The sequence below is a fragment of the Homo sapiens genome, chromosome 16 (genome assembly GCF_000001405.40).
Source record: "Homo sapiens chromosome 16, GRCh38.p14 Primary Assembly".
NCBI classification, from domain to species: Eukaryota; Metazoa; Chordata; class Mammalia; order Primates; family Hominidae; genus Homo; species Homo sapiens.
Genome location: NC_000016.10, coordinates 29,900,106 through 29,919,446, shown reverse-complemented (window position 1 = coordinate 29,919,446; position 19,341 = coordinate 29,900,106). Strand labels below are relative to the sequence as shown.

The 19,341-nt window shown below is 51.0% G+C and overlaps 2 protein-coding genes across 9 annotated transcripts in view, besides 2 other annotated features; one reads left to right on the top strand and one right to left on the bottom strand.

Moving 5' to 3' along the window:
• The window catches only part of KCTD13 (potassium channel tetramerization domain containing 13), a 19,888-nt gene extending 6,780 nt beyond the window's left edge, over positions 1–13,108 (top strand). For 2 of the 5 annotated variants that reach the window (XR_007064863.1, XR_950767.3), the window contains exons 3-6: positions 7,398–7,487; positions 7,580–7,632; positions 7,890–7,969; positions 8,274–8,366. Coding sequence is in view for 2 of the 5 variants with exons in the window: in NM_178863.5 (NP_849194.1) it covers positions 7,398–7,487; positions 7,580–7,632; positions 8,274–8,469; positions 12,339–12,575 (576 nt within the window). In the remaining 3 variants the exon portion in view is untranslated. Of the gene's footprint in view, positions 1–7,397; positions 7,488–7,579; positions 7,787–7,889; positions 8,470–12,338 lie in introns of those variants that run through there. The other 3 variants (NM_178863.5, XM_011545783.4, NR_110933.2) reach the window with 2 other exon arrangements.
• The window catches only part of ASPHD1 (aspartate beta-hydroxylase domain containing 1), a 19,502-nt gene extending 418 nt beyond the window's left edge, over positions 1–19,084 (bottom strand). Inside the window, exons 1-4 of one of the 4 annotated variants that reach the window (XR_007064865.1) lie at positions 17,527–18,959; positions 14,482–14,595; positions 13,488–13,659; positions 13,320–13,368 (exon numbers count right to left, since the gene is read on the bottom strand). Coding sequence is in view for 2 of the 4 variants with exons in the window: in NM_181718.4 (NP_859069.2) it covers positions 13,550–13,659; positions 14,482–14,595; positions 17,527–18,475 (1,173 nt within the window). In the remaining 2 variants the exon portion in view is untranslated. Of the gene's footprint in view, positions 1–13,319; positions 13,369–13,390; positions 13,660–14,481; positions 14,596–17,526 lie in introns of those variants that run through there. The other 3 variants (XM_017023107.2, XR_007064864.1, NM_181718.4) reach the window with 3 other exon arrangements.
• Positions 17,234–17,938: an enhancer, noted in NCBI's record as "H3K27ac-H3K4me1 hESC enhancer chr16:29912830-29913534 (GRCh37/hg19 assembly coordinates)". NCBI's record gives its function as "activates a minimal SCP1, AML or CMV promoter by ChIP-STARR-seq in naive and primed H9 embryonic stem cells {active_cell/tissue: H9 hESC(naive and primed)}" and the evidence as "EXISTENCE:reporter gene assay evidence [ECO:0000049][PMID:30033119]".
• Positions 18,912–19,341: a silencer, noted in NCBI's record as "silent region_7343". NCBI's record gives its function as "represses an Ori minimal core promoter by ATAC-STARR-seq in GM12878 lymphoblastoid cells {active_cell/tissue: GM12878}" and the evidence as "EXISTENCE:reporter gene assay evidence [ECO:0000049][PMID:35858748]".

Sequence of the window (19,341 nt, the reverse complement as noted above, 5' to 3'; positions counted from 1 at the left end):
ATGGCACGAATGTAATTACTGGTTCAGGTAAGGATTATCATTGATAGGTAACTGCCTTAATACAGTTACCATAATAATACCATAAGCATTACTTTATTACATAAGCCAAATAATACCATAAGCATTACTTTATTACATAAGCCAAATAATACCATAAGCATTACTTTATTACAATCCAAGGGGTCCCTTTTTCCTCACGATGCTGGCTTGTTAAAGAGACTGCCAGTTGTCCTGCACAATGACCCGCTTTCCAACTTTGCCTGGTTGTTTACTCCCGGTATCGTTTGGTTTATTACCCAGCCTTATCCTTAATTTCCTGTAAACCAGACTGTAGATTTTAAATGACTGATATTGGGTGGGCACGGTGGCTCACGCCTATAATCCCAGCACTTTGGGAGGCCAAGGCAGGTGGATCACTTGAGGTCAGGAGTTTGAGACCAGCCTGGTCAGCATGGTGAAACCCCATCTCTATTAAAAATACAAAAATTATGCCAGGTGCGGTGGCTCATGCCTGTAATCCCAGCACTTTGGGAGGCTGAGGCAGGTGGATCACAAGGTCAGGAGTTCAAGACCAGCCTGGCCAACATGGTGAAACCCTGTATCTACTAAAAATACAAAAAAATTAGCCAGGCCTGGTGGTGGGCATCTGTAATCCCAGCTACTCAGGAGGCTGAGGCAGGAGAATCGCTTGAACCTGGGGAGGCAGAGGTTGCAGTGAGCCGAGATCGTGCCACTGCACTCCAGCCTGGGCAACAGTGCGAGACTCCATCTCAAAAATAAATAAATAAATAAATAAAAAATTACAAAAATTAGCTGGGAGTGGTGGTGGGTGCCTGTAGTCCCAGTTACTCAGGAGGCTGAGGCAGAAGAATTATATGAACCTGGGAGGCAGAGGTTGCAGTGAGTCAAGGTTGCACCACTGCACTCCAGCCTGGTCAACAGAGCAAGACTCTGTCTCAAAATAAATGAATAAATAATAAAATAAATAAAATGACTGATATTAAACATTTTGTTTAGAATACATTTTAGGTAATATTATGTATGTATTTCACGTTGGGCCACATCAAGCAACCCATAATATTGTTAATATGACTCGTCATTAATGACGTTCATAATTGGCCCCTGGATCTAGGGGATGGTGGTTTGATTTCTCTATCATTGTTACATTTCCTTGTTGCTAACTATAAAATAATGCATATGGTATTTGGCCACTGTATTAAGGCAGTTACCTATCAATGACACACAAATTGATAATCCTTACCTGAACCAGTAATTACATTTGTGCCACAGAATACCTATAAGTCTTTTCTCTTCAACATTATTACATGAGATTATTTGTAAAGTCATGCTTTCCATTGTCAACTTGAAAAATTCTTGATTTGGATGTAGTCCAATTCCTCACCATTTTTTGCCTAATGCTGTATCCTTATGGTCTTGTTTAAAAATGTTTTTCTGATTTTCTGTTACCTGTGAGCTTTGTAGTTTTATTTTTATTTTTTGAGGCAGAGTCTTGATCTGTCACCCAGGTTAGAGTTCAATGGTGTCATCTCGGCTCACTGCAACCTCCACCTCCCAGGTTCAAACAATTTTCATGTCTCAGCCTCCCGAGTAGCTGCGATTACAGGCGTGCACCATGACACCTGGCTGATTTTTTATTTTTTATTTTTCTAAATGGAGTCTCACTCTATTGCCCAGACTGGAGTGCAGTGGCATGATCTCGGCTCACTGCAACCTCTGCCTCCCGGGTTCAAGCGATTCTCCTGCCCTAACCTCCTGAGTAGCTGGGATTACAGGCGTGCACCACCATGCCTGGCTAATTTTTGTATTTTAGCAGAGATGGGGTTTCACGACGTTGGCCAGACTGGTCTCGAACTCCTGACCTCGTGATCCGCCCGCCTTGGTCTCCCAAAGTGCTGGGATTACAAGCATGAGCCACCACACCCGTCTAATTTTTGTATTTTTTGTAGAAAGGGGGTTTTGCCATGTTGGTCAAGCTGGTCTCAAACTCCTGAGCTCAAGCGATCTGCCCACTTCGGCCTCCCAAAGTGCTGGGATTACAGGTGTGATCCGCTATACCTGACCTATAGTTTTAAATATGGATTTTTTTCATATATGGGTATTTTAATCTAAATGGAACTCACTTTTGTAAATATGATTGTGAAGGGATTTAGCTCATTTTTGTCTTCCATAGGGTGAGGTAGTTTTCCCAGTGCCAGGTATTAAACAGTCCAGAGGTAGCCAGCACCCAAGACAGCCACCAGGGGTTCTTGCCTCCTGGTTTCCAGGCTCTTGTTCAGTCCCCTCCCACACCAAATAGGGCAGACCTTTTCAGATCCTCACCAAGGAGACCCTTGTGTATGACCAATAGGACATTGCAGAAATGACAGCATGTGACTTTGAAGCTAGGTCATAAAAGACATTACAGCTTCTGCCTCTCTTTGAGATCACTCACTCTATGTGAATGCTATGTGAGGACACTCAGGCATCCCTAAGCAGAGGTCCACTTGGTGAGGAACTGAAGCCCCTGCCGACAGCAAGCACAGACTCCCCGCCATAGTGGTGACCTGTCTCAGAACCAGAGCTTCTAGGCCCAGGCAAACCTTCTGATGACTGCAGCCCTAGCCAAAATCCAGACTGCAGCTTCATGACAGATTCTGGGCCAGGGCCACCCAGCTAAGCCCATCCCAAATTCCTGACCCACAGAAACTATGTGAGATAATGTTTATTTTTATTTATTTATTTTTAAATAGAGACAGAGTCTTGCTCTGTCGGCCAGGCTGGTCTCGAACTCCTGACCTCAAGCAGTCCTCCAGCCTTGGCCTCCCAAAATGCTGAGATTACAGGCATGAGCCTCCACACCTGGACTGTTGTTTTAAGCTGCTGAGTTTGTAGTAATTTGTTACCCAGTAACAGAGAACAGACTTTGGTTTCTGGAATGGGGGTCTGCCATAACAGAAACCTCAAATGTAGAAGTAACTTTACAACTGAGAAGTGGGAAGAAGCTGGAAGGACTTTGAGGAGATTGTTAGTAAAAGCTTAAGGAGTGTTAAAAAGTATTGGCTGGGCACAGTGGTTCACACTTGTAATACCATAACTTTTGGAGGCCAAGGTGGGAGGATCACTTGAGTTCAGGAGTTCGAGACCAGCCTGAGCAATATAGTGAGACCTTGTCTCTAAAAAAATTAAAAGAAAAAAGGTGAGAAAGTCTGTTAATAAGAGTCCAGTGACCTTTAAGACAGCTGCAATAAGGGCTTGAAGAACAGTTAGGAAAATGCTATTGGAAACTGATGGAAAGGAGATCCTTGTGTAGCGGCAGAAAGTTTAGCAACACTGTCTCCTGCATTAGTGTGGAGGGTAGGAAATATACCTAAGGAACGGATGGTCTAGCTAAGGAGCTTTCCAGACAGAATGTTGAAGGTGCCACCTGGCTTCTTGCTGCTTATAGTAAAACTGAAGAGGAGAGAGTAAGTTAAAGAAAAAAAACACTTAAATGAAAAAGAGCCTGAAATTGTTGGGTTTGAAAATTCCCAGCCTTTCCAGATAACAAGTGATGTTAAAATTAACAAATGGCTTCCGTGCAAAGATTAAATACAAGGCATTAAATACAGGGAAATGTGGTCTAAAGGTCAAGCTGAGGATGTGATGAAAAAGTCCTTTGTTAAGACCTCAGAAATACCAACAAGATGCCTCAGAGGGGACTTCCAGTCGAATGAAATAATAATCACGCTTCTGAGAAGGTTAAAGGTGTTGTCTTTCAGCGTCTCAGCACAAGCCCAAAGTAGAGAAGGGCTTACCTTGCAGAGATTTTCTTTTTTCTTTTTCTTTTCTTTTTTTTTTTTTTGAGATAGCTCACTGCAACCTCCTCCTCCTGGGTTCAAGTGATTCTCCTGTCTCAGCCTCCTGAGTAGCTGCGATTACAGGTGCCCACCACCACGCCCAGCTAATTTTTGTATTTTTAGTAGAGATGGGGTTTCACCATGTTGGTCAGGCTAGTCTCAAACTCCTGACCTCAGGTGATCCACCCACCTCGGCCTCCCAAAGTGCTGGGATTACAGGCGTGAGCCACTGTGCCTGGCCACTTGCAGAGATTTCTAGGTGTGGCTTTTTTCTAATGTAGTGAACCCTAAGACATGCAAGATACCCAATAAGTTATGAAGAGAATTATATTGGCAGAGACACTGCCAGCTTGGACTGAAAGGGACAGAGCCAGTGCAAAAGGACAAGACGGCTTTGCACACCCAAACTTTTACAGGCAGGAAGCAGGCAGATGAAACTGTGGAGCTGCAAACATCTTTCATGGAAGAGGTGGGACGACTCAGGGAGAGCCATGGAGAATCATTCATGAACAGGAGTAGGCATCAAAGAGTTCCTAGCATTTCTCCAACTGGATTACAGAATTTCCACACACCAGTGACTTATATGTATGACTTATATGTGCCTCCTGTCCCCTGCCCCACTTTTTTTTTTTTTTGAGACAGAGTCTTGCTATGTTGCCCAGGCTGGTCTCGAACTCCTGGGCTCAAGTAATCCTCCCACCTTGGCCTCCTGAGTAGCTGGGATGACAGGCACACGCTACCACGCCCGGCTTCCCCTGCTTTTGAGCAAGAATGTCCTTACTGGTTATCCTGTGCCTGCCTCTACCACTGCACACTGGGAGTGTGGAGATGACCTGTCTCTTTAGCTCACAGGTCTGCAGATAGGAAATGCACTTAAGGGCTGGATGCGGTGGCTCACGCCTGTAATCCCAACACTTTGGGAGGCCAAGGCAAGTGGATCACCTGAGGTCAGGAGTTAAAGACGAGCCTGGCCAACATGGTGAAATCCCGTCTCTACTAAAGAAAATTAGCTGGGATGGTGGTGCATGCCTGTAGTCCCAGCTACTTGGGATGCTGAGGCAAGAGAATCACTTGAACCTGGGAAGCAGAGTTTTCAGTGAGGTGAGATGGTGGTGGCTCTGCACTTCAGCTTGGGAGACAGAGCAAGACTCCATTTCAAAAAAAAAAAAAAAAAAGAAATGCACTTAAGGAGCCATAGTTACGGAACTGCATGCTAGAGCCACATCCCCACCTGGACCTGACTGAGATGATGAGATTCTGTACTTTGAGCTGATGCTGTAATGGGATGATGGGGGATCCTGGAAGGTGGTGAGTATATTTGGCATGTGGGAGGGGGGAAATCACTGAGAGCCAGCGGTGGCCTGTGGAGCCAGCCACCAAGGCAGCCTGATGATTCTCGTCCCCTGGTGCTCGTTCCTGTGTGTCATCTCCTTCCTCACTGGATAGGACCAACAGACCTAGGTCATAAAAGACAATGGAGGGGCCCGGCGCTGTGGCTCACGTCTGTAATCCCAGCACTTTGGGAGGCTGAGGCGAGTGGATCACCTGAGGTCGGGAGTTTGAGACCAGCCTGGCCAACATGGTGAAACCCTGTCTCTACTAAAAATACAAAAATTAGCTGGGCGTGATGGCACACCTCGGTAATCCCAGCTACTTGGGTGGTTGAGGCAGGAAAATCACTTGAACCTGGGAGGCGGAGGTTGCAGTGAGCCGATATTACGCCACTGCACTCCAGCCTGGGCGACACAGTGAGACTCCATCTCAAAAATAAAAAAGACAATGAGGCTTCCACCTTGCCCTCTCTGGAATTATTTGCTCTGGAGAAGCCAGTTGCCATGCTGCGAGGATACTCAAGCAACCCTGTGGAGAGATCTACATGGCAGGGATTTGTTGTTTCCTGCCAGCAGCTAGTGCGAACTTGCCAGCCACATGAACAAGCTTTCTCAGAGTGCATCCTCTAGGGGCGGTCATGCCTTTGATGCCCACAGCCCCACTGACATCTTGGCCACAGCCTCAGAAGAGACCCTGTGCCGGAGCCACCCAGCCGAGCCACTGCTGAGATCCTGACCCTCAGAAACAGAAGTAATAAATATTGTTAATTTAAGCTCCTAAATTGGGGGCAGTTTGTTACACAGTGATAGATAACGAATTCATACTCCGTAATTCCCCTCGCACATTTGTGGTGTCTTTTTAAAAATACCAATTCTCATATACACAGTGGTCTGTTTCTGATCGCTCTGTTGTGTTTCTCAGGTATTTTTGTTTCTGTGCCCGAACTGATACCGTTCTCACTGTTGTGGCTTTGCAGCCTATCTTAATATCTGGCAGGGTCGGCCTTTCCTCTTTGCTCTTATTTTTAAAAACTGACCTAAGTTTGGGAGGATGGCTTGAGCCCAGGAGGTCAAGGCTGCTGTAAGCTGTGGTCATGCCACTGCACTCAGCCTGGATGACAGCAAGACCCTGTCTCAAAAAAAAAAAAAAAAAAAAAATGGCCTCAGTAATTGTAGACTTTTATTATTCTCTGTTAATTTTAGAGAGTCTTATGAGTTTCTGCAAAAAACAAATCTGGAATTTGTATTAGAATTGCGCATTGAGTTTTCAAGGTTGGGAGAAGTGAGAGGGATTTTGGCATGAAGATTCTAGAAGACAGAAGAGAAAGAAGCCCATGGGTTTGCTTCAGATTTCTTTCTCCAACGTCATCCCACCCAATGAAGTTCATTCACTCAACAAATATGTTCATTCATTCAACAAATACAGAGCATCAGCTGTATACTAGGTAGTTATTCCTAGGTGGGAAGAGACAGATCATAAACAAATACAAAAAGTTAGAAAAAGTCAGACACTAACTGCTGTGTAGAAAATGAACTGATAGGCCTGGTGCAGTGGCTCACGCCTGTAATCCCAGCACTTTGGGAGGCTGAGGCGGGCTGATCACCTGAGTTCGGGAGTTCATGACCAGCCTGACCAACATGGAGAAACCTCGTCTCTACTAAAAATACAAAATTAGCTGGGTGTGGTGGCACATGCCTGTAATCCCAGCTACTCAGGAGGCTGAGGCAGGAGAATTGCTTTAACCCGGGAGGTGGAGGTTGCAGTGAGCCGAGATGGCGCCATTGCACTCCAGCCTGGGCAACAAGCGAAACTCTGTCTCAAAAAAAGAAAAAGAAAACTGATAACACAAAAGGCAGGATGTAGAGGAGGCTGTTTTAGCCAGGGGGGCTGGGGAGGGCTGGCCCTGAGGAGGCACTGTGTGACCTGCGATCTGAATGGCATGACGGACACGCCACGCTGACAGCTGAGCAAAGAAGCATCCCGGGCAGGGGCACAGCCAGTGGCCGGGGCAGGCACAAGCTGGATGTGTGAAGCAGCAAGGTGTCCGTGGGACCAAGGCCCAGCAAGCAAAGGGAGAGTGGCAGAGAGGCTGGCGGAGCTTGGAGCCTGCAGAGCCCTGCGGACCACTGAGGAGTCTGGAGTTGTTCCCAACCAGCTTTTGAAGGCTTTTAAGTGGGGGAGTACGTGGCCTTTGGTTGTGCTGTTAACCACCTTCCGCTTCTTCCCCAGCAAAAAAGGGAGACGCTGTCCCCGCTGTGCCTCATCCCCATGGTGACATCTCCCCGGGAGGAGCAGCAGCTCCTGGCCAGCACCTCCAAGGTGAGGCCCCCAAGCCCTGCAGGGTGGAGGCTCACTGGGGGGGCCTCTCCCTGCAGCCTCACCCCTCTCGTCCATCCTCTCTCCCCCGCCAGCCCGTGGTGAAGCTCCTGCACAACCGCAGTAACAACAAGTACTCCTACACCAGGTGACCGCCGGGGTGCGGGGCACTGGGCGGGACCCTGGGATGCAGCACAGCCCTGCTTCTGCCCAAGGCGAGGGCCACGGCCACACGGGGGGCCTACAAGAACATCTGTGCCTGCTCGCAGATTCGGCTTCGCCTCTTACCCCTGACGCTCTAGGCAGGTCCTTTCTGCTTCTCAGCTTCAGCTCAGTCATCAGTAAATGGGTTTGGGTGAGGACAAAGTGATAGTGGCGAGCCTATCCCAAGTGCTCTCATTCTAGGAACTGGCAGAGTCCTCCCCCTTGAGGTCAGTACTGTTGTGAGCTCCATTTTACAGATGAGGAGGTCGGGACACCAAGAGGTGAAGTAACTTGCCTAGTGTCACCCAGTTAAAAAATGGGGACACCAGGACCCCCGGGGAGGTGGCCTGGCTCCCGGTCCCTCACTGGAGCTGCTGTGCTGTGCTGTGCTGGGATTTGCTCAGCGCATGTGGCTTCCCTTCTGAGACCCGTTTAGCCTGGCCCCAGGGGTGGAGGAGGCTCTCTGTTGAGCACCAAAGCCCTGGGCAGGAGCAGAGGACTGGGAATGCATCCAGGCCCGTCTTCTGGGGGTACAGAGGGAGGGGTGCCAACTGCGCTGAGGCCTCCTGGTCCCCTGGTCCCCAGCACTTCAGATGACAACCTACTTAAGAACATCGAGCTGTTCGACAAGCTGGCCCTGCGCTTCCACGGGCGGCTACTCTTCCTCAAGGATGTCCTGGGGGACGAGATCTGCTGCTGGTCTTTCTACGGGCAGGGCCGCAAAATCGCCGAGGTGTGCTGCACCTCCATTGTCTATGCTACGGAGAAGAAGCAGACCAAGGTCAGAGGGGCTCCAGAGCCTATGTTGGGGGCTGGGGGTGGCCAGGACCAGGACCCTGGACAAAAGCAGGTTGGCAGGGGAAGGAGCCCACCACCAGGAGGCAGGAGCCAGATCCTGGGGTCTGGGGTGCACAACAGTGGGCAAGCCACCCTATCCCTGTGGGTCTCTGTTTCTCTGTGAAATGGGGGTCACGGGTTAGAGCAGGGTGCTTAGCCTAGGCCTGTTGGATGGGTTTCAAGGCTGTTTGCAACTCCTGAAATGGGGGTGTATGCATTTTTCTGTATAGGGGGTCCATAGTTGCCATTAGAAACTCAGAAGGGGTGAGGCATAGTGGCTTACGCCTGTAACCCCAGGACTCTGGGAGGCCAAGGCAGGAGGATCACTTGAGCCCAGGAGTTCGAGACCAGCCTGGGCAACATCGTGGGACCTGATCTCTGTAAGAAGTCAAAAAATTTAGCCAGGTGTGGTGGCTTGGTGACATGATGGCATGCACCTGTAATCCCAGCTACTCAGGAAGCTAAGGCAGGAGGATTGCTTGAGCCCAGTAATTTATTTATTTATTATTATTATTATTATTATTTGAGATGGAGTCTCGTTGTGTCACCAGGCTGTAGTGCAGTGGCACAATCTCCGCTCACCGCAACCTCTACCTCCCAGGTTCAAGCGATTCTTCTGCCTCAGCCTCCCCAGTAGCTAGGACTACAGGCACGTGCCACCATGCCCAGCTAATTTTTGTATTTTTAGTAGAAACGGGGTTTCACCATGTTGGCCAGGATGGTCTCAATCTCTTGACCTCGTGATCCACCCACCTCAGCCTCCCAAAGTGCTGGGATTACAAGCGTGAGCCACTGCCCCCAGCCTATTTTTTTTTTTTTTTTTTTAGACAGAGTCTCACTCTGTTGCCCAAGCTGCAGTGCAATGGTGTGATCTCAGCTCACTTAACCTCTGCCTCCCAGATTCAAGTGATTCTCCTGCCTCAGCCTCCCAAGTAGCTGGCACTACAGGCACCCGCCTCCATGCCCGGCTAATTTTTGTATTTTTTAGTAGAGACTAAATGTAGTAGAGAAGTCTCTTTAGTAGAGACTTCGCCATGTTGGTCAGGCTGGTATTGAACCCCTGACCTCAAGTGATCTGCCCTCCTCGGCCTCCCAAAGTGCTTGGATTATAGGTGTGAGCCACCGGGCCCGCCCTAGCCCAGGAATTTGAGGCAGCAGGGAGCTATGATCATGCCACTGCACTCCATCCTAGGAGACAGAGTGAGCCCTAACTCTAATTAAAAAAAAAAAAAAGGGAAACTCAGAAAGGCCCATTGCCAAAAATAGATTCTTAAAACCTCAGAATCAGATGTCTCTTAGAACATCCTCTGAGTTTGTAGATCCTGAGTCATTAATGTGGCAATCATCAAGATATTCCCCAAGCCCCTGCTCTGTGCTAAGTACTGTACCGGGCTGGAAATCAAGGGGAATGAAGTGCTGAGCAAAATACAAGCCCTTCCTCATCTGGTCCCTTCCGAGCTTACTATGAGCCACATGCCTCAGGTACACCACAGTCATCACAAGTCTCTAAGCACTCAGTGCTATTTCTTACCTCTTACCTCTGCACACACTGTTGCCTCTTGGAATTCTTTCCTTCTATCTGCCTAATGAACTTGTACTTAATCTTAAGACTCAAGCTAAGCATCACTTTCTTTGGGTCACCTTCACTCATGAACTTTCAATCCAGCAACCCCAAAGTTGGTCACACTCCCTTCATAGCTAAAGACAGTGTTTTATCATGTGTGGTGGAGGGGAGGGGGTTTGCATCAGCAGCGAGGTGTTAGTTCCTTGAGGGCAGGGCCATGTCTTTTTCTTTCCTATCTCCCATTAGCTGGGCCCTTTTCACACAGTGGAAGCTAGGAAACATTTATTGAATGAATGAATGAATGAATCAGTGACCCAGCTTCCAAGAAACATCCTCTGATTGGGAAGATAGGAAGATAAACCAATAATTAGAGTGCATGGCTCACACCTGTAATCCCAATACTTTAGGAGGCTGAGGCAGGGGACCATTAAGGCCAGGAGTTTGAGGCCAGCCTGGGCAACACAGCAAGACCCCATCTCTACAAAAAATAAAAAAAAATTAACTGGACATAGTGGTACACCCAGGTACTCAGGAAGCTGAGGTGGGAGGATCACTTGAGCCCGGGAGGTTGAGGCTGCAGGGATACATGATCACACCACTGCACTCCAGCCTAGGCAACAGAGTGAGATCTTGTCTTAGAAACAAACAAACAACGATTAAAAAAAAAAAAAAAAGGCCGGGCATGGTGGCTCACACCTGTAATCCCAGCACTTTGGGAGGCTGAGGCGGGCAGATCACGAGGTCAGGAGTTCGAGACCAGCCTGTACAACATGGTGAAACCCTGTCTCTACTAAAAATCCAAAAATTAGCTGGGCATAATGGCACATGCCTGTAATCCCAGCTACTCCGGGAGGTTGAAGCAGGAAAATCGCTTGAACTTGGGAAGTGGAGGTTGCAGTGAGCTGAGATTGTGCCATTGCGCTCCAGCCTGGGTGACAGAGCAAGACTCTGTCTCAGGAAAAAATAAAAAATAAAAATAAAAAATTAAAAAAACAGTTTGCTAAGAGCTGTGTTAGATGCTTCCAAGGCCACACAAGGGAACACCCCAGTCACCTCTTCGACTTCATCCCTTTCCATTCCCTCTCATCTCTGCCTCAATTGCATTGGCCTCCCTTTTGATCTTCCAGTAAGACACTGGGTGCACTCCTGACCCACAGCTCTCACGCTGGCCCTGGCCCTCCCCAGGCTGCTCTTTCTGCTCTGTGTGCCTTGTCCCCTCCCCCACTCCTTTGGTCAAATATCACCTTCTCAGTGAGGCCTTCCCTGGAGTCCTTCTTAAAGTTGTAACACTCCTGGCTCTGGCTATCACATCCCCTTTTCCTGATGTATCTCTTTTCCTGATGTATCTCTTTCTCTCTCTCTCTCTTTTTTTTTTTTTAATAGATGAGGTCTTGCTACATTGCCCAGGCTGGCTTTGAACTTGAACTCCTGGGCTCTAACGATGTTCCTGCCTTAGCCTCCCAATGTGCTGGGATTACAGTCAGGAGACACCACACCCAGCTTATATCGTTTCCTAAACATCATCATTTGACTGCATTTATATTTTATTTTATTTATTTATTTATTTATTTTGAGATGGGGTCTCACTGTCACCCAGGTTGGAGTGCAGTGGTACAATCTTGGCTCACTGCAACCTCCACCTCCCATGCTCAGGTGATCCTCCCACCTCAGTCTCCCGAGTAGCTGGGAACACAGGTGTGGGCCACCACACCTAGCTAATTTTTTGTATTTTTGGTAGAGATGGGGTTACACCATGTTGCCCAGACTAGACTCAAACTCCTGGCCTCAAGCTGTCCTCCCACCTTGGCCTCCCAAAGTGCTGGGATTACAGGCCTGAGTCACTGCGCCAGGCTAGTTTATATTTTCTTAAGTGTATGACTGAGTCCTCCCACTAGAATGTAACCTCCTGAGGACAGAACTCTTGTTTTGTTCACTGCTATTTTTGCAGTGCCTAGAACAATACCTGGTGCAGTGCACTCACTCAGTATTTGTCAAATGAAAAAATATACCAAGAGGCTAGGCAGGGAAGGAGATGAAGGAGAGAAAACAAATAATTCTGCCTGCCTGACTTCAGAGCTGAGCCTTGAAGTATGACTTTGCTGAGTAAAGGAGTGGCAGAGAGGCCAGGCCAGGCCCAAGGACCTGACTGCAGGGCTAGGAGGTGTGTTGGTGCAGGGGCCCTAGGCAGGGGGATGGCCCTGCGTGACTGCACCAGAAGGAAGGAGCTGGGGCCGGCTGGCCTTTTGCAGGTGGAATTTCCAGAGGCCCGGATCTTCGAGGAGACCCTGAACATCCTCATCTACGAGACTCCCCGGGGCCCAGACCCAGCCCTCCTGGAGGCCACAGGGGGAGCAGCTGGAGCTGGTGGGGCTGGCCGCGGGGAGGATGAAGAGAACCGAGAGCACCGTGTCCGCAGGATCCATGTCCGGCGCCATATCACCCACGACGAGCGTCCTCATGGCCAACAAATTGTCTTCAAGGACTGACCTCTGACCCTCCCCCTGCCTTCCTCTTGCCTTGGGACCCAGTCCCTCTCTCTTTCCCTCCCCTTCCCAGACTTTTGCCCCGGCTCTGCTGGCCAAGTCGTGGGTCCTCCTCTGTCCCTTCATTGCATGGCACAGCTCACTTTGGCCCTTCTCCACCCATCCCAACCCCATTGCTAACAACATGGTACATTCCGGCCCCACCACTCAGAGCCTTCCGAAGCCAACACTTGTCCCCACCCTGGCCCTGCGTCCTTCCCTCTCCAGCTGGTTAAGAGGGATTTAGAATTCCCTTTCTCTTTTTTTAGTGCATCGTCCATGCCAAAGTGTGCGGCCCTTCCTGACATCACCACAGTCTGAGCAGCCTCCCGCGTCCTGCAGGGTAGTCCGCCCCCTCCTCCCCACCATCCTCCCTACCTCCTTAACTTTGTACTAGACTGGCCTGGGCCTGCCCAGCTCAGCGTTATCAGTCTGTTTCATATTATTTATTATTTTAATTTTCTATTAAATTATTGAAATAAAGTTAAGTTGAGAAACTGGTGCTGGCTCCTGGGGAGAGGGACGGGGAGATGCCTGTGTTAGGAGGTATCTGGCCGGGCGTGGTGGCTCACACGTGTAATCCCAACTACTCAGGAGGTTGAGGCAGAAGGATCACTTGAGCCCAGGAGTTCAAGACCAGCCTGGGCAACAAAGCAAGACCCTGACTCTACAAAAAAAAAAAAAAAAGAAAGAAAAAAAAGGAGGTACCTGTTTGGTTGTACTAGGAGAAGACATAAGGCCCTGCCCCAGCCTCTCCCTGCGAAGGAAGTAGTCGGGAGTTAGGAGAGGATTCAGAATTTATATTTCAGTGCTCACTAGCCAGTTCCCATCCTCCGCCCCCGCCCACCCCCGCAGTAGAGAGGAGGTCCTGGCTACCATCAAGCCGTCCCTGAGCGCAGTGTCTCTCCAGCCTGGGTGTGTGAAGGGAGCACCTTCCTTCAAGGGTCTGGGGCGAAGACAAAGTCGAGGGCCTGGCGCTCAGCCCCTGCCACGTTGGGGTGCCAGAGGTCCACGATGAAGACCACTCGAGGCCCATCTTCGGGGGAGCCTAGGGCACATGGGACAGGAACAGCAGAGCCACTGACATTAGGTACTTGCACACCAGAGCACTCACCAAACACCATAAAAGCAAACAGTAAATAAGTGGCAGGCCTTGTTCTAACCCTTTAAATGTATCAAATCTTTTTTTTTTTTTTTTTTTTTTTTCCTGAGATGGAGTCTTGCTCTGTCACCAGGCTGGAGTGCAGTGGCGCAATTTCGGCTCACTGCAACCTTGGCCTCCCAGGTTCAAGCAATTCTCCTGCCTCAGTCTCCCTAGTAGCTGGGATTTCAGGTGCTCATCACCACACCTGGGTAATTTCTTTGTATGTTTAATAGAGACGGGGTTTCACCATGTTGGCCAGGCTGGTCTCGAACTCCTGGCCTCAGGTGATCCGCCCACCTCAGCCTCCCAAAGTGCTGGGATTACAGGCGTGAGCCACCATGCCCGGCCGATATGTATCAACTCTTAATCATCAAAACAAACTGTGGTATTACCATAATTATCCCTATTTTATACAAAGCAACAGAGGCATAAGGAGGTTAAGTCCTTTGCCCAAGTGCAAGAGGTAGGACAGGAACCCAGAGTCCTGTGCTGGTAACCGCTTTTCTGTGTACGTAATATTATCTCATTTAATCCTTGCAGTTACTTGATGAAGAAGGTGGTGGTCCTAGGGCATTGGAGAAGTTATGCGGCTTGTTCAAGGTCATGCAGCTGGAAGATGGTGGTGGTAGGACAGGAAGTCCGTTGGGCCTGATTCTGCTGCCTTCTAGTCAACGCTCCTTTGCTCCTGAGTCCCTCATCCCCCCTGCAGAATGGGCACCCCGTTACCATTGTGAGCCACTGTGTGTAGAAAAGAGTCGTCCACCAGTAGACAGTGCCCCTCAGCCCAGCACTGGGGCTCACCGCCGACCACCAGCTCACAGCCAGGAGGGATCTTTAGGCCTGTAAGAAGAGACGCGGGCATCCAGCACTCCTGCCTCCATCCCAGGGGCCCATCCTGGCCAGTCAATTAGCAACTAGCTCTAAGTGTCTTAAATGCCAGGTTTTGTGGTCATCCTCCTTTCTTTCCAGAAAGTGGCCACAGTATAATTACAATACAGTCCTGGAGGAGGGAAGTGCTAGGAGATTAGGGAAACGCTGCTGTGGGTAGTGTGACCCATCTTTTTTTTTTTTTTTTTTTTGAGACAAAGTCTCACTCTCTCACCCAGGCTGGAGTGGAGTGGTGTGATCTCAGCTCACTCTGCTTCCCAGGTTCAAGTGATTCTCGTGTCTCAGCCTCCTGAGTAGCTGCTGGGATTACAGGCATGTGCTACAATGCAGGGTTAATTTTTTGTTTTGTTTTTTTTTTTGAGATGTAGTCTTGCTCTGTCGCCAGGTTGGAGTGCAGTGGCATGATCTTGGCTCACTGCAACCTCCGCCTCCCAGGTTCAAGCAATTCTCCTGCCTCAGCCTCCCGAGTAGCTAGGATTACAGCTGCCTGCCACCACGCCTGGCTAATTTTTGTATTTTTAGTAGAGATGGGGTTTCGCCATGTTGGCCAGGCTGGTCTCGAACCCCTGAGCTCAAGTGATCTGCCTACCTCAGCCTCCCAAAATGCTGGGATTACAGGTGTGAGCCACTGCACCTGGCCAGACCCGTTATTTTATTTTATTTTATTTTATTTTATTCTTATACAGACAGTGCTGGTCTTGAACTCCTGGCCTCAAGCAATCCTCCTGCTTTGGCCTCCCAAAGTGCTGGTATTTCAGGGATGAGCCACGGCACCTGGCAGCAACCTCTCATTTCGAGAAAAGAGAAGGCTTCCTGGAGGAAATGGCTTTTCCTCCTGGGCTTTCGACAGTTTGACTCAAGAGCTTACTGTGTGATAGGCGCTGTCTCACTGAGAGGTATAAGATTAAAGACGTTCCTGGCCCAAGGACCACATGGCTGAGTGCTGTGAGGAAAGTGAGCAGCCAACTCAACTGATGGGGGAACAGGAAGCCAACCCAGAGGAAGTGTGGCACTTGAAAACTTGAGTACTGAAGGCTGAGTAGGAGTTTTTCAGGAGGTGGTACGGGGGAAGGGGATTCTAGGTTGAAAAGAACAGCACATGTGGCATCTGTCAGGATTGGCCAGAAGGTTTTCATGATTTAGAGCACAGAGAGAGGGAAGAGAGGAAGGATTGGGAACTGATCCTGAGGCTAGTGTGCCCTGAAGTGTAGGACACATCCAGCTGGCAGCACAGGAGATGATTGGGGGCAAAACAAGGTCATGGCATGGAATAACAGAAAATTATTTCCTTTTCCATTTTCTTCCAGTCTTTAAGACATCAAAAAGTGCCAGGTGCGGTGGCTCACGCCTGTAATCTCAGCACTTTGGGAGGCCAAGGCAGGAGGATCACTTGAGTTCAGGAGTTCAGGTCCAGCCTGTCTTTACACAATTTTTTTTTCTTGTTTTTGAGATGAAGTTTCGCTCTTGTTGCCCAGGCTGGAGTGCAATGTTGTGATCTCGGCTCACTGCAACCTCCGCCTCCCGAGTTCAAGTGATTCTCCTGCCTCGGCCTCCCGAGTAGCTGGGATTACAGGCATGCGACACCACACCCAGCTAATTTTCTGTAATTTTAGTAGAGACAGGATTTCTCCATGTTGGTCAGCTGGTCTCGAACTCCCAGCCTCAGGTGATCCGCCTGCCTCAGCCTCCCAAAGTGCTGGGATTACAGGCGTGAGCCACCGCGCCTGGCCTACGTAAATTTTTAAAAAATCAGCCAAGCATGGTGGTGGGCACCTGTGGTCCCAGCTACTCAGGAGGCTGAGGTGAGAGGATCCTTTGATCTCAGGAGGTTAAGGCTGTAGTGAGCCATGTTTGTGCCACTGCACTCCAGCCTGGGTGACAGAGTGAGACCCTGTCTCAAAAAAAAAAAAAAAAGAAAAAGAAAAAATCTCAGTTTGGTGCTACTGTAACTTTGACACCCCACCAACCCTTTTAAAAAAGAAGGTGTAGGGCTAGGCACGGTGGCTCATGCCTGTAATCCCAGCACTTTGGGAGGCCGAGGCGGATTGATCACGAGGTCAGGAGATGGAGACCATCCTGGCTAACATGGTGAAACCCTGTCTTCACTAAAAATACAAAATAAAAAAAAATTAGCCAGGTGTAGTGGCAGGTGCCTGTAGTCCCAGATACTCGGGAGGCTGAGGCAGGAGAATGGTATGAACCCGGGAGGTGGAGCTTGCAGTGAGCCAAGATCGTGCCACTGCACTCTCGCCTGGGCGACAGAGCGAGACTCCTCAAAAAAGAAAAAAGTGTAGGCTTCAGGATCAGAGAGACTAGAGCACTTAACTAGAATGTTCTAGACTGTTGAAAGCTTTCTTTTTTAAATTTCAGCTTGTGTTTATGAGTACTTTCTTGTCACCCAGGCTGGAGTGCAGTAGCACAATCTCAGCTCACTGCAGCCTCAAACTGCTGAGCTCCAGTGAACCTCCCACCTCACCCTCTCCAGTAGCTGGGACCATAGGCATGGGCCACCGCGCCCGGCTAATTGTTTTATTATTTGTAGAGACAAGGTCTCACTGTGTTGTCCAGGCTTTTTATGAGTACTATTTAGGGCAAGTAATACTGATAGTGCTATAAATATTTCTTTTAAATACGTAGAACAAAAGGTCGGGGGGAGAGCCAAGGTGAAGAAACGCAGTACAGATGGGAATGACCACGGCAAAGCTTATGAAGGTGGTGTGCAGATAACCGAGGCTGAGGAAATGCTGCTGTGGGTGGCAACAGGGAGCCATGGAAGAAGAGAGGCACAATGAGAACCAGACAGCAGACGGCTCTGGCGGAGAGAAGGGTCTGGGGGGGAAATCATCGAGGCAAGGAGGTTGTCAGTAGGCGGCAGCTACTTACCCAGATGGCATCTGACCCGGGCATTGGTGGGCCCACAGCGGCCCTCGAGCCGGGCCCCAGGCAGGAGAACGGAAAAGCCGGCATTGCCGAAGGTGTTGGCACTCATAAAGCTTCGAAGCCCCCTCAGTGCCCGATAGGCCCCCGGGCACCGGCGGCAGTTGCTGGGTTGGCACCGGCCTGCTTGGTACAGCAGGAGCTGGTAGCACCCGGGGGCCAGAGGTGGGGACCAGCCCCGAGGCGGAGGGGTAGTCCCTGAGAAGTCCCAGCTCACAGCCCCGAAGTCCCGCAAAATGGCAGGGAAGCTGCTCTCCAGGAGCTCCACGTCGTGCCGCTGGGCGTCCCGCGGCACAAAGGGGGCTGAAGGCAGGTCTGGTAGGAAAAGCAGGCCTGGGCGCTGAATACCTAGGACCCCTGGCCCTCTCCCAGGGCCTGGGCCACCCTGAGCTGCCCGCCTCACTCTACCCATCCCAGCCCAGGAGTAGCGCCTTGCGTAGGCCCGAAGCCGCCGGCTCACTAGGCCTTCCGTCCTAGGTCCTTCCCCGGGATCCCCAGGACCCCCTGGGCTTGGCCCGCCGGCCTCCGAGCATCCCACAGGCCCACCACGAACACCCCCAGCTCGGCTCCCAGCCCCTAGGGCCTGCATGTCTTGGGAGCCCAGGCGGTAGCAGTACCAGAGGAACAGGGAAGTGAGGGCCCCGAAGAGCAAGGTGAGGGCCGAGGAGGCCAGGGGTAGTGGCCACGGGAGCATGATCAGGGAGGCCCTGGCCAAGAGGCCTGGGGCGTCCTCCGGACCCCAGTTCCCCTGTCCCCCCAGCTCCCCACCTGTCCCTTCCATGGCTGCCCCCTGGCTCCCCGCTGGACTGTTTCCCTTCCACATTCCACTCTGGGCTGTCTCTCTCTCCTTCCGCGGTCCTCTCTCCACGCTGAAGCTCCCTCTCCCCTCCTTCATGCACCTCCAACCCTCCTCTCTCCTTTCTCTCCCCTTTCTCTCTCCTTCTACCTCTTCTTCCTCCTCTCCCTCTGTCGCCTCCTCACCCTCTTCTTTCTCCTTCCAGCAGCCTCCTCTCTCTCGCTCTGCTTCTCTCTCCCACCTCAATCTCCCCCTTTCCTCCCCACCCCCGCTTTTCGCTCGCTCTCTCTCCCCGCTTCCTCCTAGCTCCCCTGGGCAGCGGTTCCTACCCTGCCTGGACCTGCAGTCCCGGGAACCCGCAGCCTGTCTTCCTCCGCGGCAGCTTCTTTCTCTCCGGCCTCACTGCTCTCTCCTTGCCCTCGCTCCTCACTAGCCCCGACCCTGCGGTCCTGCCTGGCTCTCGCTCCCTCTCTCCTACTCGCTCCTTCCTGGGCTCCCACTCACCCTGACGTCACTCCTTCCCGGAGCCCTCTCAGCTCAGCCACCCCCGAACCCTCCCAGTGGCACAGCAAATCAGCCGGGTGCCGGGGGAGGGGGGAGAGTTGTCGCTGGAGGTGCCTCCCCACCCCCCCCGCCCGGAAAGGGCGCCACGTGGGGCGCAGGGGCCACGGTGCCAGCCTCCAGCCGTCCCGCAATGCGAAAGAAGGGGCGGGTCGTATCGGGCGGGGCCTGAGGGGCGGGGCCTGAGGGGCGGGGCGAGCGCGGACTGACGGCTGGGCAGGCGCCCGGGACTGCGGGCAAGGATGCTGAGGCCAGTCCGTCGGGCGGCTGGTCCGTCGGTCGGTCGGCCTGTGACTCCCGCTGGCCCTAGGCAGCCCGGGAGCCCGCGAGCCTGGCAAACACCGAAAGCGGCCTCAGCCAATCGCGGGCGGCGTCGGGCCGGGCCCGCCCCGGCGGGGCGAGGG